Source organism: Homo sapiens, chromosome 6 (genome assembly GCF_000001405.40).
Source record: "Homo sapiens chromosome 6, GRCh38.p14 Primary Assembly".
NCBI lineage: Eukaryota > Metazoa > Chordata > Mammalia > Primates > Hominidae > Homo > Homo sapiens.
This window is the reverse complement of record NC_000006.12, coordinates 77,314,552-77,339,076: the sequence shown is the minus strand read 5'-3', so window position 1 is coordinate 77,339,076 and position 24,525 is coordinate 77,314,552. Positions and strand designations below refer to the sequence as shown.

Here is a 24,525-nt window from a genome sequence, read left to right as displayed (position 1 = left end):
GGCAACCCTGCAGACCAGGAGAGAGTGGCATGACATAAAGTGCTGAAAGAAAACAATGTTTACCCTAGAATAGCATATCTGATGAAAATATCCTTCAACCATAAAGGAGAAATAAAGACTTTCCCAGAAGACAAAAGTCGAGGGCTTTCATTAACAGGAGACTTGTACTAAAAGAAATGCTAATGGGAGTTCTTCAGTATGAAAGAAAAGGTTGCTAATGGGTAAGAAGAAATCATCAGAAGCTACAAAACTCACTGGTAGTAGTAAGCACACAGAAAACCATAGAATATTATAACATTGTAATTGTTATATGTAAACTACTCTTAGGCAGAAAGACTAAATGATAAATCCATAAAAAATAATAACTACAACAACTTTTTTAGACACAATACAATAAAGCTAAAGAAAATCAATAAAAATTAAAAAGGGGGGACAAAGTTAAAGTGTGGAGTTCTTATTACTATTATTTTCATATATTTGTTTATGCAATCAGTGTTAAATTATCAGTTTAAAATAATGAGTCATAAGATATTATTTGCAAGCCTAATGATAACCACAAATCAAAAAACATACCATGGATATAAAAAAATAGAAATGAAGAAATTAAATCATGCCACGAGAGAAAAATTACCTTTTCTTAAAGGAAGACATGGAGGAAGGAAAGAAAAAAAGGCCGCAAAACAACCAGAAAACAAGTAACAGAATGGCAGGAGTAACTCCTTACTTATCAGTAATAACACTGAGTTTAATTGGACTGAACTCTCCAATCAGAAGACATGGAGTGGATAAAAAAACAAGACCCAGTGATTTGTTGCCTACAAAAACACACTGCACCTAAAAAGATACACATAGAATAAAATTAAAGGGATGTAAAAAGATAGTTCATGCCCTGGGAGGTGGAGCTTGCAGTGAGCCCAGATCGCACCACTGCACTCCAGCCTGGGCAACAGAGTGAAACTCAGTCTCAAAAAAAAAAGATAGTTCATGTCAATGGAAACAAAAGAAAAGCAAGAGTAGCTATATTAATATCAGACAAAATAAATTTCAAGACAAATTTGTAAGAAGAGACAAAGAAATTCACCATATAGTGATAAAGGGGTCAATTGAGCAAGAGGATACAAAAATTATTAATATATATGCACCCAACACTGGAGCACTCAGATAAATATAATATTATTAGAGTTAAAAAGAGAGAAATCTTATGAGCCCCAAGAATTTGAGACAGGTCACAATTAATTTAGAAAATTTATTTTTCCAAGGTTGAGGGCACACATGCCCATGACACAGTGTCAGGAGGTCCTGATGACATGTACCCAACATGTTCAGAACAGAACTTAGTTTTATACATTTTAGGAGGAAATGAGACATCAGTAAACATGTAAGATGATCATTGGTTCAGTCTGGAAAGGCAAGACAACTGGAAGCAGGAGGGGGCTTACAGGTTGTAGGTAGAACAGAGACAAATGTTTGCATTCTTTTGAGTTTCTGATTAGCCTCTCCAAAGGCAGCCAGATATGCATTTATCTCAGTGAGCAAAAGGGAGACTTTGAATAGAATGAGAGGCAGATCTGCCCTAAGCAGTTCCCAGCTTGACTTTTCCCTTTAGCTTAGTGATTTTGGGGCCCCAAGATATTTTCCTTTCACAAAATCAATACAATAATAGTTGGAGCCTTCAACACCTCACTTTCAGAATTGGACAGATTTTCCACACAGAAAATCAACAAAGAAACATCAGACTTAATCTTCACTATAAAAGAAATGGACTTTATAGCTGTATACAGACTTACAGTTTCTTTTCATCAGCACATAATTACTCTCAAGGATAGACCATATGTTCAGTCAAAAAACAAATCTTAAAACTTTCAAAAAATTGAAATAATATCAAGCATCTTCTTTGACCACAATGGAATAAAACTAGAAATCAACAACAAAAGGAATTTGGGAAACTATACAAACATGAAAATTAAACAATATGTTTGTGAATGACAAGTGTGTCAACAAAAAAAATTAAGAAGAAAATTTAAAAATTTATTGAAACAAATTATAATGCAAACATATCATTTCAAAACCTATGAGATACAGGGGAAAAGTCCTAAGAGGCAAATTTATAACTATTAGTTATAAATAAATAATATAAATATTATAATATAAATAAAAAAGAATAAAAACTTCCAATAAATAATCTAATGATGCATCTTAAGAAACTAAAAATGAAAGAGCAATCCAAACCCAAAATTAGTAAAAAAAAAGAGATAATAAAGACCAGAGCAGAAATACATGGAAATGAAGTGAAGAAAACACTATACAAGATCAACAAAACAAAAAGTTATTTTCTGAAAAAACAATCAAAACTGACAAATCTTTATCTAGACTAATAAAAAGTGAAAAGACTCAAGTAAATAAAATCAGATATTAAAAATGAGACATTACAACTGATTCTGAGAAATTCAAAGGATCATTATGGGCTACTATGAGTAACTATATACCAATAAATTGAAAGGCCTAGAAGAAATAAATTCATGGAAACATACAACCTACCAAGATTAAACAATGAGGAAATCCAAAACCTGAACAGACCAATAACAAGTAATGAGATTTATTCTGTGATAAAATTTCTCCCAGGAAATAAAAAGGTCAGGACCCAATGGCTTCACTACTGAATTCTACCAAACATTTGAAGAACTAATGCCAATCCTACTCAGACTATTCCTAAAAATAGAGAAGGAGGGAATACTTGGAAACTCATTCTACAAGGCCAGCATTACTATGATACCAAAACCAGATAAAGACACATTAAAAAAAAGAAAACTATAGGCCAATATCTCTGATGCATACTAATGCAAAAGTACTAAAAAAATACTAGCAAAACAAATTCAACAATGCATTAAAAAGATTGTTTATCAGATCCAAGGGTGATTTATCCCAGGGATGCCAGGATGGTTCAATATATGCAAATCTATCAGTGTGATATATCATATGAACAAAATAAAGGACAAAAACCACATAATCATTTCAATTGATGCTGAAAAAGCACTTGGTAAAATTCAACATTTCTTCATGATACAAACCCTCAAAAAATGAGTGTAGAAGGAATTTATCTTAACATAAAAATGCCACGTATGACAGACCCACAGTAGTAGCATTCTGAAGGAGAACACTGATAGCCTTTCCTTTAAGATTCAAAACACAACAAAGATGCCCACATTCAAAACTCAATATTCAACATAATAATGGAAGACTTAGCTGGAGCAAACTGACAAGAGAAAGACAGGACATCCAAATTGAAAAGGAAGAAGTCAAATTATCCGTGTTTGGAAATGATATAATCTATGTTAAAAAGCCGTTAAGACTCCATAAAAAACTATTAGAACTGATAAACAAATTCTGTAATGTTGCCAGATACAAAATCAACACACAAAAATTAGTTTCATTTCTATATATCAACATTGAACAATCTGAAAAAGACATTAAAAAGTATCCCCATTTACAATAGTCATAAATAAAATTAAATACCTAGGAGTTAACCAAATATTGAAAGATTTCTACAACTAAAACTATAAAACAATGATGAAAGAAACAAGACAACACAAAAGATTGGAAATATATTTTATGTTCATAATTTGGAAGAATCAATATTGTTAAAATGTCCATAGTACCCAAAGCAATCTATAAATTCAATGCAATCCCTATCAATATGCCAATGACATTCTTCAGTGAAATAGAAAAAGTAATCCTAAAATTTATATGGAACCACAAAAGACTCAGAGTATCAAAAGCTATCCTGAGCAAAGAGAACGAAACTGGAAGAATCACATTACTTGACTTCAAATTATATTACAGAGCTATAGTAACCAAAGCAGCACAGTAGTGACATAAAAACAGACACATAAACCAATGGAACAAAATAGAGAACCCAGAAACAAATCTGCATACTGACAATGAACTAATTTTTGACTGAGGTGCCAACAGTATATACTGGGGAAAAAACAATCTCCTCAGTAAATGATCCTGGGAACACTGTATATCCATGTGGAGAAAAATGAAACTAGATGTCTGTCTCTCACAATATACAAAAATAAAATCAAAATGGGTTAAAGACATAAATCTAAGACCTCAAGCTATGAAACTACTACAAGAAAACTTTGGGGAAACTTCAGTGCATTGTACTGGGCAAAGATTTCTTGAGTAATATCCCATAAGCACAGGCAACCAAAGCAAAATGGGCAAGTGGAAAAATGAGAATCCTTGTACACTGTTGGTGAGAATATGAATTATTAAAACCATTATGGAGATCAGTGTGAATTTCCCTCAAAAACTTAAAAGTAGAGCCACCATGTGATCCAGCAATCCCACTGCTGCATATATATATCCCCAAAATGAAGGAAAACAGTACCTTAAAAAGATACCTGCATTCACATGTTTTTTGCAGCACTGTTCACAATAGCCAAGATTTGGAAGCAAGCTGAGTCCACCAACAGATGAATGGATAAAGCAAATGTGGTACCTATACACAATGGATTATTATTCAGCCATAAAAAAGAATGAGATCCTGTTTCACAATAACATGAATGGAACTGTCACAGGATCCTTAGGGTATGGCTTCACCAGCCAGAAACTTCTGTGGCTGGCGGCACCTCTGCTTGGGTTTGCTCATGCCCCAAAGCTCGAAGACTCCAGGATGGTAGACCCCCAAAGACAGTGTTACAGTATGTCACAGCCCAGGCTTGGGAAGCCCCAAGGTCTGGAACCCCAGAAGGGCCAAAGCTCTTCTCTCCTTCTTGCTGCCTGGAGCACAGTGAGCTGAAGGGCATGTTTCAGGGGGGCGTGTTTCAGCCCATTTTTGTTATAGCTCTTTTAATCCCACCACCCAACTCCAACCTGTGGCTCCTGGGCTGGCCCAGCCCTGTCACTGCTTCTCAGGCACCAGGGGAGGGCAGGAGGGCTATAGTATTATAGCAGCTTTTGCTCAGGGAACCCTGAGGTCTGGGCCCCTGGAAGGGTTGCCACTCTTCACTCCCACAGTCTGGGAGTGTGTCACTGCCTGCAGCTCAATGAGCCGGCCTGGTACATGTTACAACTCCTTCCACTCCCGCCATTCAGCAGGTCTCAAGTTGTCCCATGTCCAAGAAGAATGAGGTTATGCAGACAATTGGTGGGTGAGCAAGGTGGAGAGGTGCTTTATTGAGCAACAGAACAGTTCTCAGGAGACCTGAAGTGGGTAGCTCCTTTCCTTAGGCAGGTCATCCCAAAGGGTCTAAATCTGGCTGAATGTGGTCTCTTTATGTGCTCAGAATGGAGGAAGTGTGTGCTGGTTGATTCATGGGCAGCCATAGGCGGGCCTGGAAAAAGCACCATCTGATTGGCCTAAAGGCATCAGTGAAGTTCTGGCTCCAGTCCCGACTCCACACGAAACTGGCAGGCTGGCCTCCAAGCTTCAGGCCATCCCTGGATTAAAGGTTGGGTTTCACCAGGGACCCACCCCTTCCTGCCTAGGAATCTTTCTGCCTCCCACCACCATCAACATGCCATCCATGATGCCCAGGCTTGTCTGCACCAAAGGGTACCGTCAAGCACATGCCAAGCCACCCCCAGCACCCCTTGCTTCCATTCTCCACTCCTTGGCACCCAAAGTTCAGAGGGGGGCAGAGCGGTAGGGGGCTAGTGTGTCAGCACTGCCCTGAGTGCACTTACACCTGGCTATGTCACAGCAGTGCCCGGTCTCGACCACAGCTTTGCTCCACACCTGATTGGGTGCCGCAACTTTGTTTCACACCAGTTTGGATGCTGGGAGTTGAGAGAGGCCAGATAGCAGGAGCAGGCACTTACAAGCCTGCAGGGGCAAGCGGCTTCTCAGACCCCCGAGAGTGCAGGAATGCCTGGGTCTGGAGATGTGCCTGGGCACTTACAGCTGTGCCCAAGAGCATGTTCTCCTGCTCCGCCAACTCGGTAGAGTGTGGGGCTCCCACTGGGATCACCTATTCCCAGCCCCTGCTGGCTCTGCGGAGCGTGCAGCCCAGGCGGTACCTCCCCCACTGCAACTGGAGTCCTTGCAGCAGCCACTCCAGATGGGCCACCACTGCCATCAGAACTGGAGGTCATTATGTTAAATGAAATGAGCTAGGCACAGAAAGACGAACATCGCATGTTCTCACTTACTTGCGGGATTCAAAAATCGAAACAGTTGAATTCGTGAACATAGAGAGTAGAAGAATGGTTACCAGAGGCTGGGAAGGGTAATGGGAAAGTGGGAAGGAGATGGGATTGTTAACTGGTACAGAAAAAAAAGAATCAGTAGGACCTAGTATTATTTGATATCACAAAAGGGTGGCTCTAGTCAATAATAATTTAACTATACATTCTAAAATAACTAAAAGAATATAATTGGATTGTTTATAACACAAAGAATAAATTCTTAAGTGGAAGGATACCCTGTTTTACATGACTTTATATTATGCAATGCATGCTTGTATTAAAATATCTCATTTACCTTATAAATATATACACCCATTATATACCCACAAAAATTAAAAATCAAGAAAAAGAATAAAGTTAGAGTATTCACATTGCCTGTATTCAAGTTACACTACAAACCTATAGTAACCAAGGCAGCATGGTACTGGCATTGAAACAGACCCGTAGACCAATGGAACAGAATAGAGAACCCAGAAATAAATCCCTGCATTTACAGTCAACTCATTTGTGTTAAAGGCACCAAAAATATACATTAGAGAAAGGACAATCTCTTCAATAATTGGTGCTGGGAAACTGGATATCCACCTGCAGAAGAATAAAACAAGGTCCCTATCTTTCTTCATATACAAAAATCAAACCAAAATGAATTAAAGAGAAATCTAAGATATGAAACTACTAGAAGAAAAATTATATTTTAATATTTCATGAAAATAGAAGTAAATTAATGTCTTAAAGACAAGCCATAATAGTATTTTAGCTATGCTTTCTAGTTTGCCTGGGAGAGTCCTGTTTTAGCCTGCTTTCCTAGAACAATTATTAAAGTATTCTTTTTCACTCTCAAAACAGTCTCAGGTTGATTATAAATGATATATGTATGTGGCATGGTATGTTTCTAAACACATAAGAAAGTTTGACATTAATTTATTATAATATGAAGGAAGAATAAATAGAATATTTAGTTTTCTTTCATTTTTTTCACTTTCCCAGTTTCTTTTATTGGTTAAATGCAGGAAAACAACCAAATAAAATTTTCTTTGATATTTTCTTTTAAACTCGCAAGTGTCAAGATGTCAGTTTCTTTGGTACTCAAAATATTGGAAAACAATGGAGTATTTTCAGTAAGTTTCTATGATTAATTAAAAGCCCTCTTAAGTGGAACAGAAATATTCATTGCCTTACCCTGTCCTATCTTCTTTTTTCTAGTTTAATATAATCCACACAATAATCATAATCTAAAATCTTGAATAAACAAAAAGGCCATGCAGTAGAATATAGACTGTTATTCACATTGGGATATTATTTAAACATCTAAAAAGCCATCCAACATTGACTTTTCTTAATGCATGTGAAACAAGTTCTTACCCAAACAGGAGAATATGAGGATTGTATATGAATAAAAAAATTTCTTTGTAAAACTATAGAATAGGGTTGCAAGAGTTCATCATATAAAACTTGGGGAAACCTTTTAAAAAATAGACCCCTAAAAACTATTTTATAATATAGTTTTATCATGTTTACAGATTAATAGAAAATTTCCATGGTAAGCAGAATAAGCAATTTATGCAACAGTGGTACTATTTTATTGGTAAGAAAATATGCAACAGCAGAAATCGGCAAAAGCTGACTCAAGGAAGTGTAAAATCTCAGTGTGCTTTTTGTTAACAATTAGATTTTTCTGTTCCAATGCTTGCAGAAAGAAACTACAAAGCATTTATAATCTCTCAGCTGGCTTGTCTTCAGAAACAAGGGTATTCACCTTTGACAGGTGAATCATAGAAGTCGCTTTCCATATTCTTTGGTTGCCTTAAAATAGATTTTTTGTCCTCACATTTTTGCTTTAATCAGGAATGGGTCAATAGCGTTTTGTCCTTGCCTTCCTTCTTATTTAGATGGCAGTTAGCAAAGATTTTGTAGTTGTTATTGTTCTCCTAATCTATTTCTTCGTAAATACCAAAAACTTCCAAATGAAAATCTATATGCTGCTATTACTTTAAAAGTGAAATAATGTCATTCCAAAGAGTGAAATTTCCTTTGTGAGTGATTTAAGACAATTTTTAAAAAGACAATAGCATGTTATGAAAGGTACATAAGAAGCAAAGTTGTCTTTTCAAAATAAATGGTCTGAAAGAAAAGCAAAAGCGTGTGTTTAAAAAATCAAAAGCAGCCATAGCAAGATGTAATCCAAATATTCTATGGACTCTAATCTGAAATACTGTGATGAGATTTTGTAGAAATATGCTTTTGAGGGACATTCTTAGTAAATTAGTGGACTGTTGTTTTGTTTTGTATTTTGTATTTGAATCATTAAATCATTGAGAAACAAGTGAAGTTAAACATATCAGAGAATATTACAAAGTAGAATAAATTTAAAACATACACAACAAAATATGTTTCAAAATATTTATACAAGGTCAAAAGAAAGATTTCCTATTAAGTAAAATTTTTAAAAATTACCCAAAAGATGAGTTAACCAACAAGCATAGAAAACAGAGATAGAGAAAAAAAAGCTATAACAAAATTACTACCAGAAATAATGCAGGAACCAGATTTTTTCAGTGAGTTAAAAACAAACAAAAATTGATGTGAAAGATACTTCTTATAATATGTAAACTCATCTAGAGTATAAAATGATAGAAAGATGTAGAAAATATTTTTACCATTATAAAGTAGATTTGAGAGCTTGAAACAAAAACAAAACTAGAGATAATCTTTTATAAAAATTAAAGAAAAATATGCAAATAAAATGAAATCCAACTGCATACTTCAGAATGAATTATAATGCAAAATATCAGTATTTTATTAGAGAAAAACTTCTTTACTGTCCACAAAATGGATAGTTAAAAATTTTACATCCATAGATGCTAAAAATATTTTAATGCAAGAATGGGAAGTAGACTGATAGTTACACACATACATACATATATATTCTTTTACATATATTTCTTTTATACACACATACACACACATATTCTTATATGTAATCCAAAAATACATACACACATATATATACATATATACACAATGTAAAGCTATATACATATAACACCTTATATATACATAGTATGTGCTAAATTTGAAAGGCGAATGACTAAAAAGTTACAAAATATTATAAACTCATCAAAGTGAGCTTGACTATTTGCAGAAACATTTCAATGGGATTTCAGTAGAATTCAATAGAATGGACCATTCAGTAAAAATATGAACTTGGACAAGGGACTTTTACAAATTATCTGAGAAAATACATGGATAGAGGGGACAAGACAATTCTGAAAAACTAAAAAGGAGATTTGTGTTTCTTTTAGACAGTTACATATTTTTATAGAGGAAAAAATAACTAAAATGATGTGATGTTTCTGAACAAATAGACAAAGTATTGGAATAGGCCAGAAAGCCTTAAAATATTCTTTATTTATACATAAAACTAATATTTATAAAGAAGGATTCATCAATACATGGAGCTGGAGTAATTATTTATTTTTTAAAAAATTACCTGAGCACCAAAATATAGTCCAGATGGATAAAATACTTAAGAGCAGAAGGTAAAACCATAAGAAAGTAGAGATAAGTATGATTAATTTTTTAGCTAACTTTCTCAGCTTACTGGGTAAGAAAATAAATAAATAAAAATTGATAGGTAAATCTAGTTCAAACTTGGAAATGTTCTCTTTAAGATGTAATACAAATTATTTTAAGAAACTAAAAATCTAGAAAAAATTGTGTTATATATACTTAGTATATTTAATACATAAGGAACTGTTATTACAAATTAATAAGAAAATTATGAAAATCCAGATAGAGATTGTGAAAGGCAATTCATAAGGGAAAAGTAAAAATTGCTAAACTTTGATTTTAAAATTACTATTATACAAACATATAAATTAAACATAGTTTGTATTTTTTTAAATTAAAAAGAAAAATTATAGTTTTGGTGTAGTTGCACTGAAACTGAAAATATAGTACCCTGCTCTTAGAAATGTAAACTACTAGAACCTTTCAGGTAAGAAATACAATATCCAGTTATCAAAAATGTAAAATTGTTCATATCTTTTCTGAGCATTTGAATCTTATCCTAAAAATAAAAAAATAAAAAAGAAAGAAAATAATATAACAGGATCTTTATCCTATATTATTTGTCATAATACAGATAAGCAATAAAATGTTCAATCAGAAAATTATAGTGTATCCACATGAAATGTGAGGTACATATTATAGATCATAGTCTTTAAAACAGTAAGGAAGGATAAACACTATAATGCAAAAATTTTATATACATTTATACACATCAAATATAATCCTCAAAATTATCTATTATCTCAAAAATGTATACATACATATTTATATTTACATGTAACCAGAAGTTTACCTTATTAGAGTATCATACATTAGCTGTGAATAATATAATAAACTATATTATTTTCTTGTTAAAATTATCTCAACTTTGGGAATTTTCTACATTAATATATTACTTTTATAATCAGAAAATGTTATATGATATTGCTTGTTTTTATGCTTGTGGCTATTATTCTCTTTCCAATATGGCATTAACTTTGCAGAAAATGATTTGGCCTATCACAGGATGGTTAGAGAATACAGTGCACCTGTTATGAGCAATATTTTTCTGCCACTTGGCTGAAGTGCTCTAGTTGGTCCAGTGGCTTTCTGACAAGAAATTGGAATGATTTTGAAATGACATTTGGCTGTGGATAGAAAAAAATATAAATTTCTGGTAGATAAAAATCATATTTAAATGACCAGTTTTCCTCTTTTAACATATTAAAAGACAGTTTGCCACCTCCAATCTTTCTGAAAGTTGAAAATACTATGAATTAATATTTTATTTAAGCAAAAATAAAGTTCAAGATTTCTATCAAGGAAGTTGGAGAGGATACAAACTAGGATCTCTTTACATAAAATTCTAATTATATTTCTCTTTTAGTGAGATTCACTTATTAAAAATTCCAAAATTTCTTTAAATGTGGTTATTTTGGCATAATCTGTAATTTTCTCTGTTTTCAAGTTTGGGTATACTCCAAAATATGCAATTTAAATTCCAATGTAAACAAAGGTTTAGCTGATTGTATTGTTCAGCATATCTTAGTTTTGCTATACTTTATGACATTCTTGAGTGAGTTTTTTGTTAACTATATATATGTATGTGTGTATGTGCATGCATGTGTGTATTTGTAGTTTTGACAAAGTGAAAAATTAATTTGAAATGTCTGAAGTTGTTATATCTATTTATAAAATAAATGCAAATACCATGTCATCCTTAAAATTAATATATGTAAAGCTCACAAGATATTGGGAAATATGAGCCAATGCTTCATCTGTTCCAATTCAAAAGACTCCTTCTTCCAACCTCAAACTTCCAAACAATAACAATTACAACAATATGCATGTAGCTAAAACAATGCAAATATCACTTATACAAGTACAATTTTGCTTTTCTTTGTCTCCAAATGTTGTTAACAAAAATTTCAACAGTTAATGCCATCTTCTTCAAGGTCAAATTCTCATATTGTTTTTATTCCTCCTCTAGTTATTGCTTTTGGATATTCTCTAAACTATGAACTAAAAACTGTTAAAACTAGCCACTACCTACATACCCTGCATCTAAGAAGAAAGGAACAGAGAAAGGGAACAAATATAAACAAGTTAAAATCACTTAAATCAGATCGTGACACTGAAAGGGTACAGATATGAGTAGATACCACAGCTCATGAGTTCACAATCAAGTCTATGTGCTAGTACATTCTGAGGACCTACCTGTACTCTAGGCCTTCAGGACTGATACAGTTTGGCTGTGTCCCCACCCAAATCTCATCTTGGATTGTAGCTCCCATAATTCCCTCAGGTTGTGGGAGAAAGCAGTGGGAGATAATTGAATCATGGGGGCAGTTTCCCCCATTCTGTTCTCATGGTAGTAAATAAGTCTCATGAGATTTGGTGGTTATATAAGGGAAACCCCGTCCAGTTGGATCTCATTCTTTCTTGCCTGTTGCCACCTAAGATGTGCCTTTCACCTCCCTCCATGATTGTGAGGCCTCTTCAGCCACGTGGAACTGTGAGTCCATTAAACCTCTTTTTCTTTGTAAAGTTCCCAGTCTTGGTTATGTCTTTATCAGCAGCGTGAGAACCATTTAATACAAGGACTTACCTTACATTAGGATAGAATAGCTCCCAACAGTCACTAAGCCCTGTCTATTATGGACTTCACTTCACCTCCTAACATTACAGATAGTGTCAGCCTCCTTCAGTTCAAGGTCTGGGCTTTTGCCAGGCCCCACATAGTCTATCGGCCCCAGTGCCCAGGTTCATTACAAATAAAACCACTAAATCTCTGACTTTTCCAAAGTTAGTAAGAGGGGCTGATTAACACAAGCTGGAAGAGAGGGGCTCTTATCTACCCATTGGTTGAACTTTGACCAGTGAAAGAGAGTGTGAAGTATCCAGTAGATTCATTGCATCCCCTTCCTGCCTATAACGGACCATTCCTAGAGGTAATGGTTTTATATGGTTTCTCTAAAAACTCCCTTGACCTAGAAATCACTGGGTTCTTTTAAGAAACTCGGAAAGTATAAAATGCACTACTCTTTTTTTGCTTCTCCTTCTTTCTGAGTCATTTCTTTTTTTTTCCTTTCACTATTGCTTTCCTGGAATTGAACACTCATCCCTAAAACATTACTATATAAACTGTGCCTTAAGCTATACTTTCTAGAGAACCCGAATTAAGACATTATTTTTCTGCTGTTGTCAGAAGGCTACTTCTGATATTTATGCTTTCATTCTCCATTAATCATTTAATATTTTATTTTCCTTCATCAGCCAACACTGCAGGCAGTTGAGGCTTTTTCCATGATGAAGTAAATCCAACTATGATTTCTGAAGAATAGAATTTATTGGTGGTCCTACCTGTGTGATGTTTCTGCAGTCTCTGAGGTTTCCGGAGTCTTCCAATAAATTTTACTCCTGTATGTGTCAGACTAGGAGGCACCCAAGATAAGACCTTGGGGTCTAAATATACTACAACCGTATCCCCAGCAAACCTGTTTCTCCTTGATAATCAAGATCGATACCTTCTATTTTGCATCTTTGACCTGCAGTATGAAGAACTTGAAATGGACAAATGGCAATTTGAGACTCCAATTCAGCGAGACCATTGTAGGGTCTTCTGATGGAGTAGCTTATCCTTGTGTTCTAAAACTTCTCATCAAGGCCCTAATACAGGCTAGCAGGACCCAGAAATGGAAGAATGGAAACACCTTGTGAAGGTTTCATTAGGTATGAGAGTGACAGTTGTAACACACACTCTGGCCTGATTCAGAGAATACACACACTTCACATTGGATAGCAGTCTAATTTATTAGATGTTACCTATGGTCTTACTTCCATTCGGTTTTCAGACAATTTCAACTCTCCGTAAGGCCACGTGATTCTGTGGGATAAGGTACATGGTAAGACAGTAAATTCTATGATTTTTAGGCCATTATCTCAGTTGTGTCCACATAAAATTAGTAATTTGGTCAGAAGCAACATTATAAATAAAGCATTATGTAAGCCCAGAGATGGAGTTGCTGGCAGGAATGGAAGAAAAATCCTAATCCAGAGTAAATGCCTAGTCTAGTTGGAAAAAACTATTATCCCCTTCATGATGGAAGAGGCCCAATATTTTAATCCAAAATCTGTGGTTGGCTGGATCATCAGAGATTAACACATTTAGATTTGGTCTCTTTCACTGGTTCTGGCAATTTAAATATTGAGCAGAGGCGAAAGCCAGTAAGCTGTGGAGTAGGGAAGTATTTGTTGCCACATAGCATCTGACTCTGCCAGCAAGATTGTGGAGTTCATTGGCCAAGCAGTAAGGAAGCTTGGAAGAGAGGCCAACTGAGAACCACTAGAGAATTGAGAGTCCCAAGTAGTTTTAGTGAACATTCACATTTTACATGTTGCATAATATCCTCACACTCTGAATCCATTTCAAAAGTTCCATCTATATACTTCTTTCTAAAACATCCTAGTAACCAATCCCAACATACCAGTTTTTTTCCAAGTTCTTCTCTGTCCAAACAATTGTCCACCCCCTACTTATGTAGATTTTTATCTTTGTTTTATCCAGCCGTTCTATCTTTTGCCAGAAGAATTAGATGCTACATAATTCAACTCGTGAGTCGGACTGAAACGCTACAACTCTTCTTTTCCTATTTCCAGCGTACTATGGAAGGTCTTCAGGAAATCTTTTGGCTCTTGTTTACAGCATGCTCCTCCTTCTGCAGTTATGTATTGAGGGAGGGGTAGAATTATGTCAGGTGTAAATTCAGTGGAGGCATTAGTTATTTATTAAAGTAACATACATGTGCTTTCAGATTCTGTTCACATTTTTGCTTCATGATTTAGGGCTGAAGAACATGCTTGATTTCTCAGGCTCATACAATCTGATAACATCCAGACATGATAGGCAGCTCAGGTTACCTGCCTACCGAGTTTTATAATTAGGCATTCAGTCTCTACCAGGACTCAGGAGTAAGCCAATAATTATTTCTCTAAAGGAGAATAATTACTTGTCAGTGAAGGTCTGACTTTACTTTAAAAACATAGAAACTTTGCTGTGATTCTCTGAGTGTGGGCTTACCACAAATGCCATATATTATCCAGGTATGCCACAGACACTTTGAACAATATTGGATTCCTTAGGTCATAAGGTTTCAGTGAGAGGCTACTGGCATAAAGCCCAAATCAGTTTGGCTATCTTTTCTTTTTTATTTTTCTCTCAATACTGGTATCATTTTGGGCTACTCTGTAAATGAATTAGAGCAACACACACAAATAAATTATATTTTTCCCGGAAAAATCCAAAAGAATGTACTATGTGTTATTTTTCATTCTTTGTGCTATAGAGTGCAAGGTGAAGCAAACTATCTTTCATTTTGAAAGGAATATCCCAATATTTGTAGACTTCTAAATTCTCCAGAGTTTCACTCAGGAATCCTGCTCCTGTGTTTTCATAATATTTATTTATTTATTTCCTATCCTCTAGAAATAGTGTTTTCCCAGCCACCTGGCAGACCTGTTGTTTTCTGTTCATCAGATCTTGGGAACCTGATATTATCAAGGTAGTAGAGTAGTGTACAGCCTTGGTGAGAAGATTGAAGATTAAAATGTCTTGAGTGACACAGATCCATGCAAGCAACTTAATAAAGATACAGTGCTACCCTTACTAAATAAATGAATCCTGATTATTTTGATAACTTTTGGGATAGAGGAAGAAAACATATTCAAGGTTAATACTTGCATATAACTTGCTAGGAGTTATGTTGATATGCCCAAGAAGACACCACATGATTACAATGTGATAATGAATAAAATGTGAAATAATATCAGTAACTTGAATCACTAACTTATTGAATTTATGGTAATTTACTCATTCTCCAAGATCCACCAACCTTCTGCATGGAACAATAGACATGTGAAATCATGATATGATTGCAACTAACACTGCTATATCTCTTGCTTTTATCAGTGGCACTAATTTCACTCACCCGTGAGATTTTACAAATGTTTTACTTTTTTGAGAGGAAGAATGATGATCAGAATCTTCCTATTGGCTCTTCCATCCATATTATCTTTTAGACCAGAGAACAGAGAGTTATTATGGATACTGTCTCAGGTTCCGATTATATTTATTCTTGTCTTAATTTGGGAATCAAGGTGACAACTTGTTTGGTTCAAAGATTCACTGGACCACATGAAAAGAGTTAGTTAATTAGTCACTTATTACCAATTTCAATAAACTACCACTTGGATCTGTCTACTAAAGTGTTCTGGATTCCCAAGTGTTAGATTAGGATAAAAACAGTAGAACCCAAATAGTCCAAGAAATATCAGGATTTTTCCATTTCCTCATGTGTTCGTGCTCTTGTAAATAGCTGCAAATCCCTTTGGGGAAAGACAGAATAAATTTATAGCACATGCTTCTGATATCGCAAGGTCTTTTTCAAGTGTGTTCACTGTATTATGTCTGTTGTCCTCTTCTCTATGCTTCACTAAGAAGACAAACATCCTACGCAAGACAAAATTTATTGCAAGATCAGCAAAGTTTTAATAAACATGCCTCACACCAATATTATTTTTCATCTACTACAAAAAACTTGTTTGAATTCCAAAGAGTTAGTTAGAATACACTGCAATGAGATATTTATGTTCAACTACTGGTATCACATAATTTATTAAAAGTGATTTCAAATGGGATTAAGAAAATTTAAACTTTCCTTCATGTGGTCATAAGAAAATACAAACTTTCTTTTCAACGGTCATAATACACAGAAAACATTTTAAAAAATTCTATTCAGTGTTTTGACAGGGTTGACAAACAGCAAAGCAGTCACTTGTTAATGTTGATTTACCAATTATCTCTAACAGGGTTCCATTCCTGGCCTCTAGAACTTGCTGTTTGACCATGATTAACTACTGAATGGGACTTTCATTAGTGATACTGAATTGAAAAAAGAAATATCACTTTTCATAAAGACATAAATTAAGTTTATATTATACTTTAGCATTTAGACACTGTAAACATGTTCATCACATTGATCAAATGCTTAAATGAAGAAAAAGCTGCCTTTGAATGTATTTGCACTAGATAAGACAGTTTGTTCAAGATTAAAGGTGACAAGGCATGTTTCCAAAATTATTCTACACTTAAAATTTTACTAGAAGGCAAAATGTCATAAAGAAAATAACATTTTAAAAAAATATCTAAGATACCTAAGTTTGCATAGTGGATATGCTACCAGATACACACACACACACACACACACACACACACACACACACACACACACATAATATATGATAATTATTATATATTATATATAATTATCATATATATTATATATATTTAATTTAGACAAGGGATTTAACTTTTCTAAGCACTAACTTGTGAATTTTCTATTGGAAATAGAACTATCTACCTTTCTTATTCAGCAATAATGTTTAAAAAGCACATAGCCAGAGTTTGGTGCATAGCAATTAAATAGTAGCCATTGAGTATAGGATGTAAAAGATACAAATTATGAGATCATTATTTCATGAAAGAGTATTCTGAATAAATACCCTTAAAAAGAGAGAGAAGGTTGTCATTCATATGGGTGACATTCATATGGATCTTTACAGAGGTGTGTGACAGCAAGATCTCTTCTTTCACATTCTACTTCCATTTCAGTCAGTCCTTACTAATGACTGTGCATGCTGGGGCCTAATTCATACTAGGCTTGTGGGGGTTGGTTCTTAGCAATTGTGGAATATTGAGGTAAATAAGTCCAGGAGTACAAGGCCAAGGAGTCACAAAATAGCTTTAACCAGAGGGACAATATTGGTAACCATTTTAAATGTTGACCTTGGAAGTAAGATTTAATCTGAAGAATTGATTATATGCTGCCTATTTTTTGAAAACTAGCCTAGACCATATCTTCACGGCCTTTGAGAATAATAGACGTTAGTGAAAACACAAACAAGTGCCAGATGAATGTTATCTTCTGTTTCTTCATTAAACACATACTTTATCTTTCCGTAATGATAGACAAGCACAAAGCCACAGTAAATGTGTCTTGTGTTTTTATGTCCCTATAAAAGGAAATTTAGTTTTTGTTCTAGCATGTCCCTTTATAGTGAAGTGAAGTAAAATATTCTAACTCTCATAATTAAAAACATAAATATTATCTTATTTCAAAAATTTTAATATAATTTTCCCTTTTTAAGACTAAATGGTTGTGATTAATTTATTACAGTAACCAACAATATCAGACTGGAGGAAAGTCATATTCTTTACTGAGGTACAATATCTCACCATTTTATAAGAAATTAATCAGCATTTTCTCTGAGGGTAAGAACGTATTATGGAAAGTAAGCACATTGACAAGTCTCTAGGGCCTTTATGTACATTACTGTCTCTAAAATATTTATATTAGTAATATTTTAAATGTGCAAAATTAACATAGAAAGGACAAAGTTTCTCTTCTGGTTTGACCACTGTTCCCAAAAAGCTCTTCTAATAGTGCTGAGCTAATTAATAAATATGGAGTTACCAAATAACTAATTATTTCTTGCATTCATTTTTCATAAGGTAAAACAGTATTTTTTTTTCAGAGGCCTCTGAAAAATCTAAAAATTAGTTTCAGGTGAAAAAACAATTCTGAATATTTTTTTCTAAATTTATATCCATGTCATAGGAAAGTGAAAATCATGAGTCAGTTGGACCAAAGATATTTGGTCACTTAAGTACAATATGGTCATATATGCCTCAGAAAAAGTATGCAAAGTTGTTTCTCCATTCTTCTTCTGTCAGTTCCAAAAATGATAGCTAATGATTATCCAACATTCAAAATCTGTGTCATCATTCTTGCATCTTTAAAAAGAAAGCAACCCACTTTGTCAAGCATTTTATAGCATTTTATGGCTACTCTTACACACTAAGTTTTTTTTCATTCATTTAGCATTTAAGTAAAATTGATTTGGTTATCTTTTCTGGAAATAAGCAGGACTAGGCTAAAGTGAGAGGTTTGGAGTTCATGGAGATACTCCTGGATGCACATATTACATATTACTGAGTCCTTAATACCTGGATTTTGAATGCCCCTTCTCAATTAGGAGAACAGTAAATGCAATTCATATAGCTTGCAGTTATCTTTATAATTTCATCTTCCATAAGAATTCTTGGAACAACTCTTTCTTGCCGTTATACTCTACATTTGTCCTCAAGGGAATTGCTTGGCTAGCTGAAACTGCTGTGCTTTTCGAAACTACCCTCCAGAAGAATCAAGATTCTTTCTTCTCTGGCATGCTTTCTGTCTAAAGATACTTAAGTTCTAACAATTTATTTTTCTATAGTATTTACAGTGTCCACTACTGGAAAAAATATATCATCCAATACTAAATAACAATAACAAATACCTAAATCCGTTAATTTAGCAGGCCATTAATCTAGTTATCAGATCACAGTTGAATTTTTATTAAATAAAGTCAGAGGTAAATGTTGACTTTTCAATAATCATTAAAAATCTGTAAAATTATCTTAAAATTTCACCAGAATTTGTATTATGAATATATCACCTAAGATAAAAAACCAGTCATAAAAACTCTCAAAGATGTTTATTCTCATATTTTTTAATCATGGTAACCCCAACAGTGACAAAACTATATCTCTACTATTTACTAGAGAAATCGGTAAGCTGACTGTAGAAACATTTCTGAATGGAACATTCAGAAATAAAGTCCTATAAAATTATTACATTAGTGATTATATTAATATGGAAATGACTTACGTTGTCATGTTAAGTAAAAAAAGCAAAATGAAAATGTGTGATCATAACTATGTAATACAAATGAAAAAAAAATAATAGCAAAGAATCTAAAATTAAGTAACCTATATTTTATATTGAGTTGTTTTAAGTATGAGATATTTAAGCAATTTTTTCATTTTATTTTCTGTGCTTTCAAGTTCACTTATTCAAATATTTTAAAAATACCTATAATGATGTAGAAATCATCATGGGCATTGGAAAGATAAGAAGAAAAAGACAGACATAGCCATTTTCTCATAGAGCTTTCCATGTAATGGAAGCAATGATTATTCAACAAATATATAAAAACTTCTAAAATTACAGTGAGGACAGGTAATGTGCAATGTAAGCATGTAATATAAAGATATAACTTGTCCTAAAGTTTTATTTTGTGGGAGAAGTAATATATAATCTCTGACTGTATAATTCTCATAACACAAATATTTTCTTTTCTAATAAACATTCTTAAACACATTGCTTAGTCTAAGAATTAACACGACTAGTTTAATTGTACCTGTGTGCTCTTCCATTATATTAGTCTATTACTGCTTTCTACAGCAAATTAGCATGCTTAATTTTGAGTTGATCACTTATTTGCGTTTTTGACCTTTTGTTATCATAACGTATCTTTAAATACACACCAATGTTATTGATTTTTTTGCTGGATTTTACACTATAATATACTGCTTACGCTGTGTATAATCATGTGGGACGTCTTTTCCCCTCAGCATTAAGTTACACAATTCTAATGTTCACAAGTGTTCTCCTCTCTTTCTCAGCTTTCTCATACTTGGTTTGGAACACAGGGTCAATTTTGAGAAACAGACCCTGAGCAGAAGTAGTGTGTATAAATTCTGGACTGCAACAATTGTTGGTATAAAATTGCCTCCAGTGCTCTTTTTAAAATGATATTGTGATCTTGGAGAAGCCCTGATTCTGAGGTGCCAAAGGATCAAAGCAGACTGAGTCTCTGACTACTACAAAAAGCTTTTCTGTGGTATATTTTAGTATATTTTTAAAATATATCTAAAAACTGCAGAAAGCTTTTCTGTAGTAGCTCAGAGGTGCTCTTGGAAATCATCCAGAACAAGGATCGGCAACTATGATCATGGACTAAATCCAACCCCCTGCCTGTTTTTGAAGATAAAAATTTATTGGAACACAGCCATGCCCAATACAATCATTTATTGGTGTATTGTCTATGGTTGATTTCATATTTTGATGAAGGTAAGCAGTTGCAACAAAGACTCTGTAGCCTGCAAAGTCTGAAATATTTGTCATCTAGCTCCTTACAAAAAGAGTTTGCTGATCCCTGCTTTGGACCGATGGCAGTGTTAGAATGTGTAGTATTAAGCCGGTGTTCTCTTTAGTCATAAAGATTATCATATATTGTTTCTGAAGTGGCATAATATGTCTAACACCAAATATTATATAACATTCACTTATGCTGTGGGATATAGCTATAACTCATTCATTTTTAGGGTTGCTTAACACTCCTTTTTGTGATTATAACACAATTTATGTAACCGTACCACTGCCGGTGGACACTGGGTTATATGCAGTTTTTTGCTACCGAAAACATTGCTTCAAAATTTTCAGTTTTTGCAATGGTGGAATAGCTCCTATTGGGACAAATAACAACCACAAACTCTAGACACGAAATTAAAATAACTATCTGAGAGCACTGGAGAGTGACTGAAAGCAGGAAGATCTGGTTGGAGTCCCTTCTTGGAAGAAAAAAACTGTACTGTGTGAGATTTTGTCCCTTTAAGAATAAAATATGTTTCAGTATGTGCTGTGCCAGGTGGCTAATATGGGCATAAGAAAACCATCATTCCTGGCTAACATGGTGAAACCCTGTCTGTACTAAAAATACAAAAAATTAGCTGGGCGTGGTGGCGGGCGCCTGTAGTCCTATCTACTCGGGAGGCTGAGGCAGGAGAATGGCGTGAACCCAGAAGGCGGAACTTGCAGTGAGCAGAGATTGCGCCACTGCACTCCAGCCTGGGCGACAGAGTAAGGCTCTGTCTCAAAAAAAAAAAAAAAAAAAAAAAAAAAAACTGCTGCACACCTATTAGGATGGCTAAAATCCCAAACACTGTTAACATCAAATGCTGACAAGACTGTGGGACAACAGCAACTCTCATTCAGTATTGACTCATCTATTGTAACAATTTGTCCCAATTTGTCCCAGCATATTTTAGTGAATAATTTATTCTATTCTCACTGAAATCAAGTTTAGCCATCATAATAATGAATTGTCCATATATCTAAGTATCTATTTCTAGATTTTCTATTCTCTTTGAAATACATCTATTCAAATACTAGTACCATACATTTTATTACTATGATTTTAATATATTTTATATGTAGTAGGGAAATCCCCTACTTCTTTATTCTTTAGATGAAACTAAATATTGATATACCAAATTGTTACAAGAAAAAGAATGCCCTGAGAACTTGATTGTAATAACATTAAATTTATCAAATAATTGGGGGATAATTGACTTAATCATAATTACAAGAGCTGTTTCAAATCTTTTTAAGTACCAAACACAATAATATTGTTGAAATACATTTGCCATGTTTATGAAATTCTTAATGTAATATTATTTGTAATGGTAATATTAGTAATAGTTTGATATATTAATAATTCAGTTGATCTAAGCATGCATTCTTTCATGATGATGATTATGGTCAAAATATGCCAAATGTGTCTGTAAATATCATGCATAATATAATCACTTAGCAAATAAATTGCTGAAAGAGAAGGAAAAACGTAGAGTTGGTTCTAAAGCTGTGGCAATGTTGCTTTTAGTCATATGTTCTCATTTACTCCATTCCAGAATGTTTATGTGCTATTGCATAGTCCCTGGCGTGCCATCTGTTCCTGCAGTCAAGACCAGTAAACTCAGGTGAATAGAGGATGTTACATTTTTTATTTCTGAATAGATCAGTTAGCCACGCACAGAGAAGCATTCTGTTTTGTGGCCACTTATTATACTCTCAAATCATATAAACTCTCCTGCAAATGTGTGCAATGTATTACATGGGAGATTAGATAAAAGAGCATAAAGCGAAGATAATCATATTACAGCATTTAAGGGCATATTTTTTAATTGAACACTCTAAACTGAAATTTGGCTCAGCCATTTACTAGCTCCATGACCTTGGGCAAATTAATAACGTACTTTAAGCCTTAATATCCTCAGTTGTAAATCTTAAAGATAAAAAAGGAACTATGTATTATGTATTTTTATGTATGTGAAACTGTTATTACCGTACCTCACTTACTGTAAGCATTCAATCTTCATTAGTTGCCATTATGATGCGCTTTACTAAGTTAGTGCAAATAGCAACTTTAGTAGGTTGTTAATGATATCATTTATATTATAAAATAAAAGGGAAACATAAAGTGTATTTTACTTTACTGTGGATTAAAGATAACTGATAGAATATTTGTAAGATCATATAATGTTATTCTTAACTGATTTGGAAGTAAAATCTAGTCCTTCTGATAGAAATCAAAGTTCTTTCCACCAGCCTGGCATACTTAAACAAACTTTCTTTTTAAAGACTTGTCAGTTTACGCAAAGTATTTACTGGGTTTTACATGGTTTAGTTGAAGTAAGACATCTATTTTATTTTTTTATATTTTATTTTTATTTTATTTTATTTATTTTATTTAATTTTATTTTTTTATTATACTTTAAGTTTTAGGGTACATGTGCACAACGTTCAGGTTTCTTACATATGTATACATGTGCCGTGTTGGTGTGCTGCACCCATTAACTTGTCATTTAACATTAGGTATACCTCCTAATGCTATCCCTCCCCCCTCCCCCCACCCCACAACAGGCCCCAGTGTGTGATGTTCCACTTCCTGTGTCCATGTGTTCTCATTGTTCGATTCCCACCTGTGAGTGAGAACATGCGGTGTTTGGTTTTTTGTCCTTGTGATAGTTTGCTGAGAATGATGGTTTCCAGCTTCATCCGTGTCAAACAAATTTACAAGAAAAAAACAAACAACCCCATCAAAAAGTGGGCAAAGGATATGAACAGACACTTCTCAAAAGAAGACATTTATGCAGTCAAAAGACACATGAAAAGATGCTCATCATCACTGGCCATCAGAGAAATGCAAATCAAAACCACAATGAGATACCATCTCACACCAGTTAGAATGGCGATCATTAAAAAGTCAGGAAACAGCAGGTGCTGGAGAGGATGTGGAGAAACAGGAACACTTTTACACTGTTGGTGGGACTGTAAACTAGTTCAACCATTGTGGAAGTCAGTGTGGCGATTCCTCAGGGATCTAGAACTAGACATACCATTTGACCCAGCCATCCCATTACTGGGTATATACCCAAAGGATTATAAATCATGTGGTTATAAAGACACATGGACATGTATGTTTATTGTGGCACTATTCACAATAGCAAATACTTGGAACCAAGCAAATGTCCAACAATGATAGACTGGATTAAGAAAATGTGGCACATATACACCATGGAATACTATGCAGACATCTATTGTTATTTGATTTCAAAATAAGCATAGTTTCAGCCTACTGGCCACAAGTAGCAATATATAGAAAAATATGAAAGGTGGAGGAAAGGGTCATGGCAATTTTGAGAATCACTTGGAGAGATATAACTTTAATGAGTAATTTTTGGTTAAAACAAAATCCATGTTATTTATTCAAATAGTACTACAATTTGCCCTGCATATACATAAACAAAGTCAATTACAATCTGAGACATGTTACTTGAAGTCAATCAATAAAACCTAGTCAACAAAACTCAAAAAGGGGCAAAATTCCACTACTTCTTTCTTGTTAAAAGAGAGGGATTGCTGTCTCTTTTCCAGATAATTATTTATTTTTTTTCATAAACCACATTTCTTTTTCGAACATATTTTCAAACATTTTGTTCGCCTTTAGAATTTTCCCTTGCCATTCTACGAATTTTTCTGCAATGGGTCCCAAAAATATGTT

At 34.0% G+C, this 24,525-nt stretch overlaps 1 long non-coding RNA gene across 5 annotated transcripts in view, besides 2 other annotated features; it reads left to right on the top strand.

Moving 5' to 3' along the window:
• Positions 731-900: an enhancer, noted in NCBI's record as "experimental_95197 CRE fragment used in MPRA reporter constructs". NCBI's record gives its function as "activates a minimal promoter by MPRAs in K562 erythroleukemia cells, with activity observed for both the introgressed and non-introgressed 6:78047979 variant alleles {active_cell/tissue: K562}" and the evidence as "EXISTENCE:reporter gene assay evidence [ECO:0000049][PMID:34662402]".
• Positions 7,370-7,539: an enhancer, noted in NCBI's record as "experimental_95189 CRE fragment used in MPRA reporter constructs". NCBI's record gives its function as "activates a minimal promoter by MPRAs in K562 erythroleukemia cells, with activity observed for both the introgressed and non-introgressed 6:78041340 variant alleles {active_cell/tissue: K562}" and the evidence as "EXISTENCE:reporter gene assay evidence [ECO:0000049][PMID:34662402]".
• The window catches only part of LOC101928570 (uncharacterized), a 248,816-nt gene continuing 245,888 nt past the window's right edge, over positions 21,598-24,525 (top strand). For 2 of the 5 annotated variants that reach the window (XR_001744207.2, XR_001744205.2), the window contains exon 1: positions 21,607-22,441. This is a non-coding gene — a long non-coding RNA (uncharacterized LOC101928570). Of the gene's footprint in view, positions 22,442-24,525 lie in introns of all 5 variants that reach the window. The other 3 variants (XR_241864.5, XR_001744206.2, XR_007059650.1) reach the window with 3 other exon arrangements.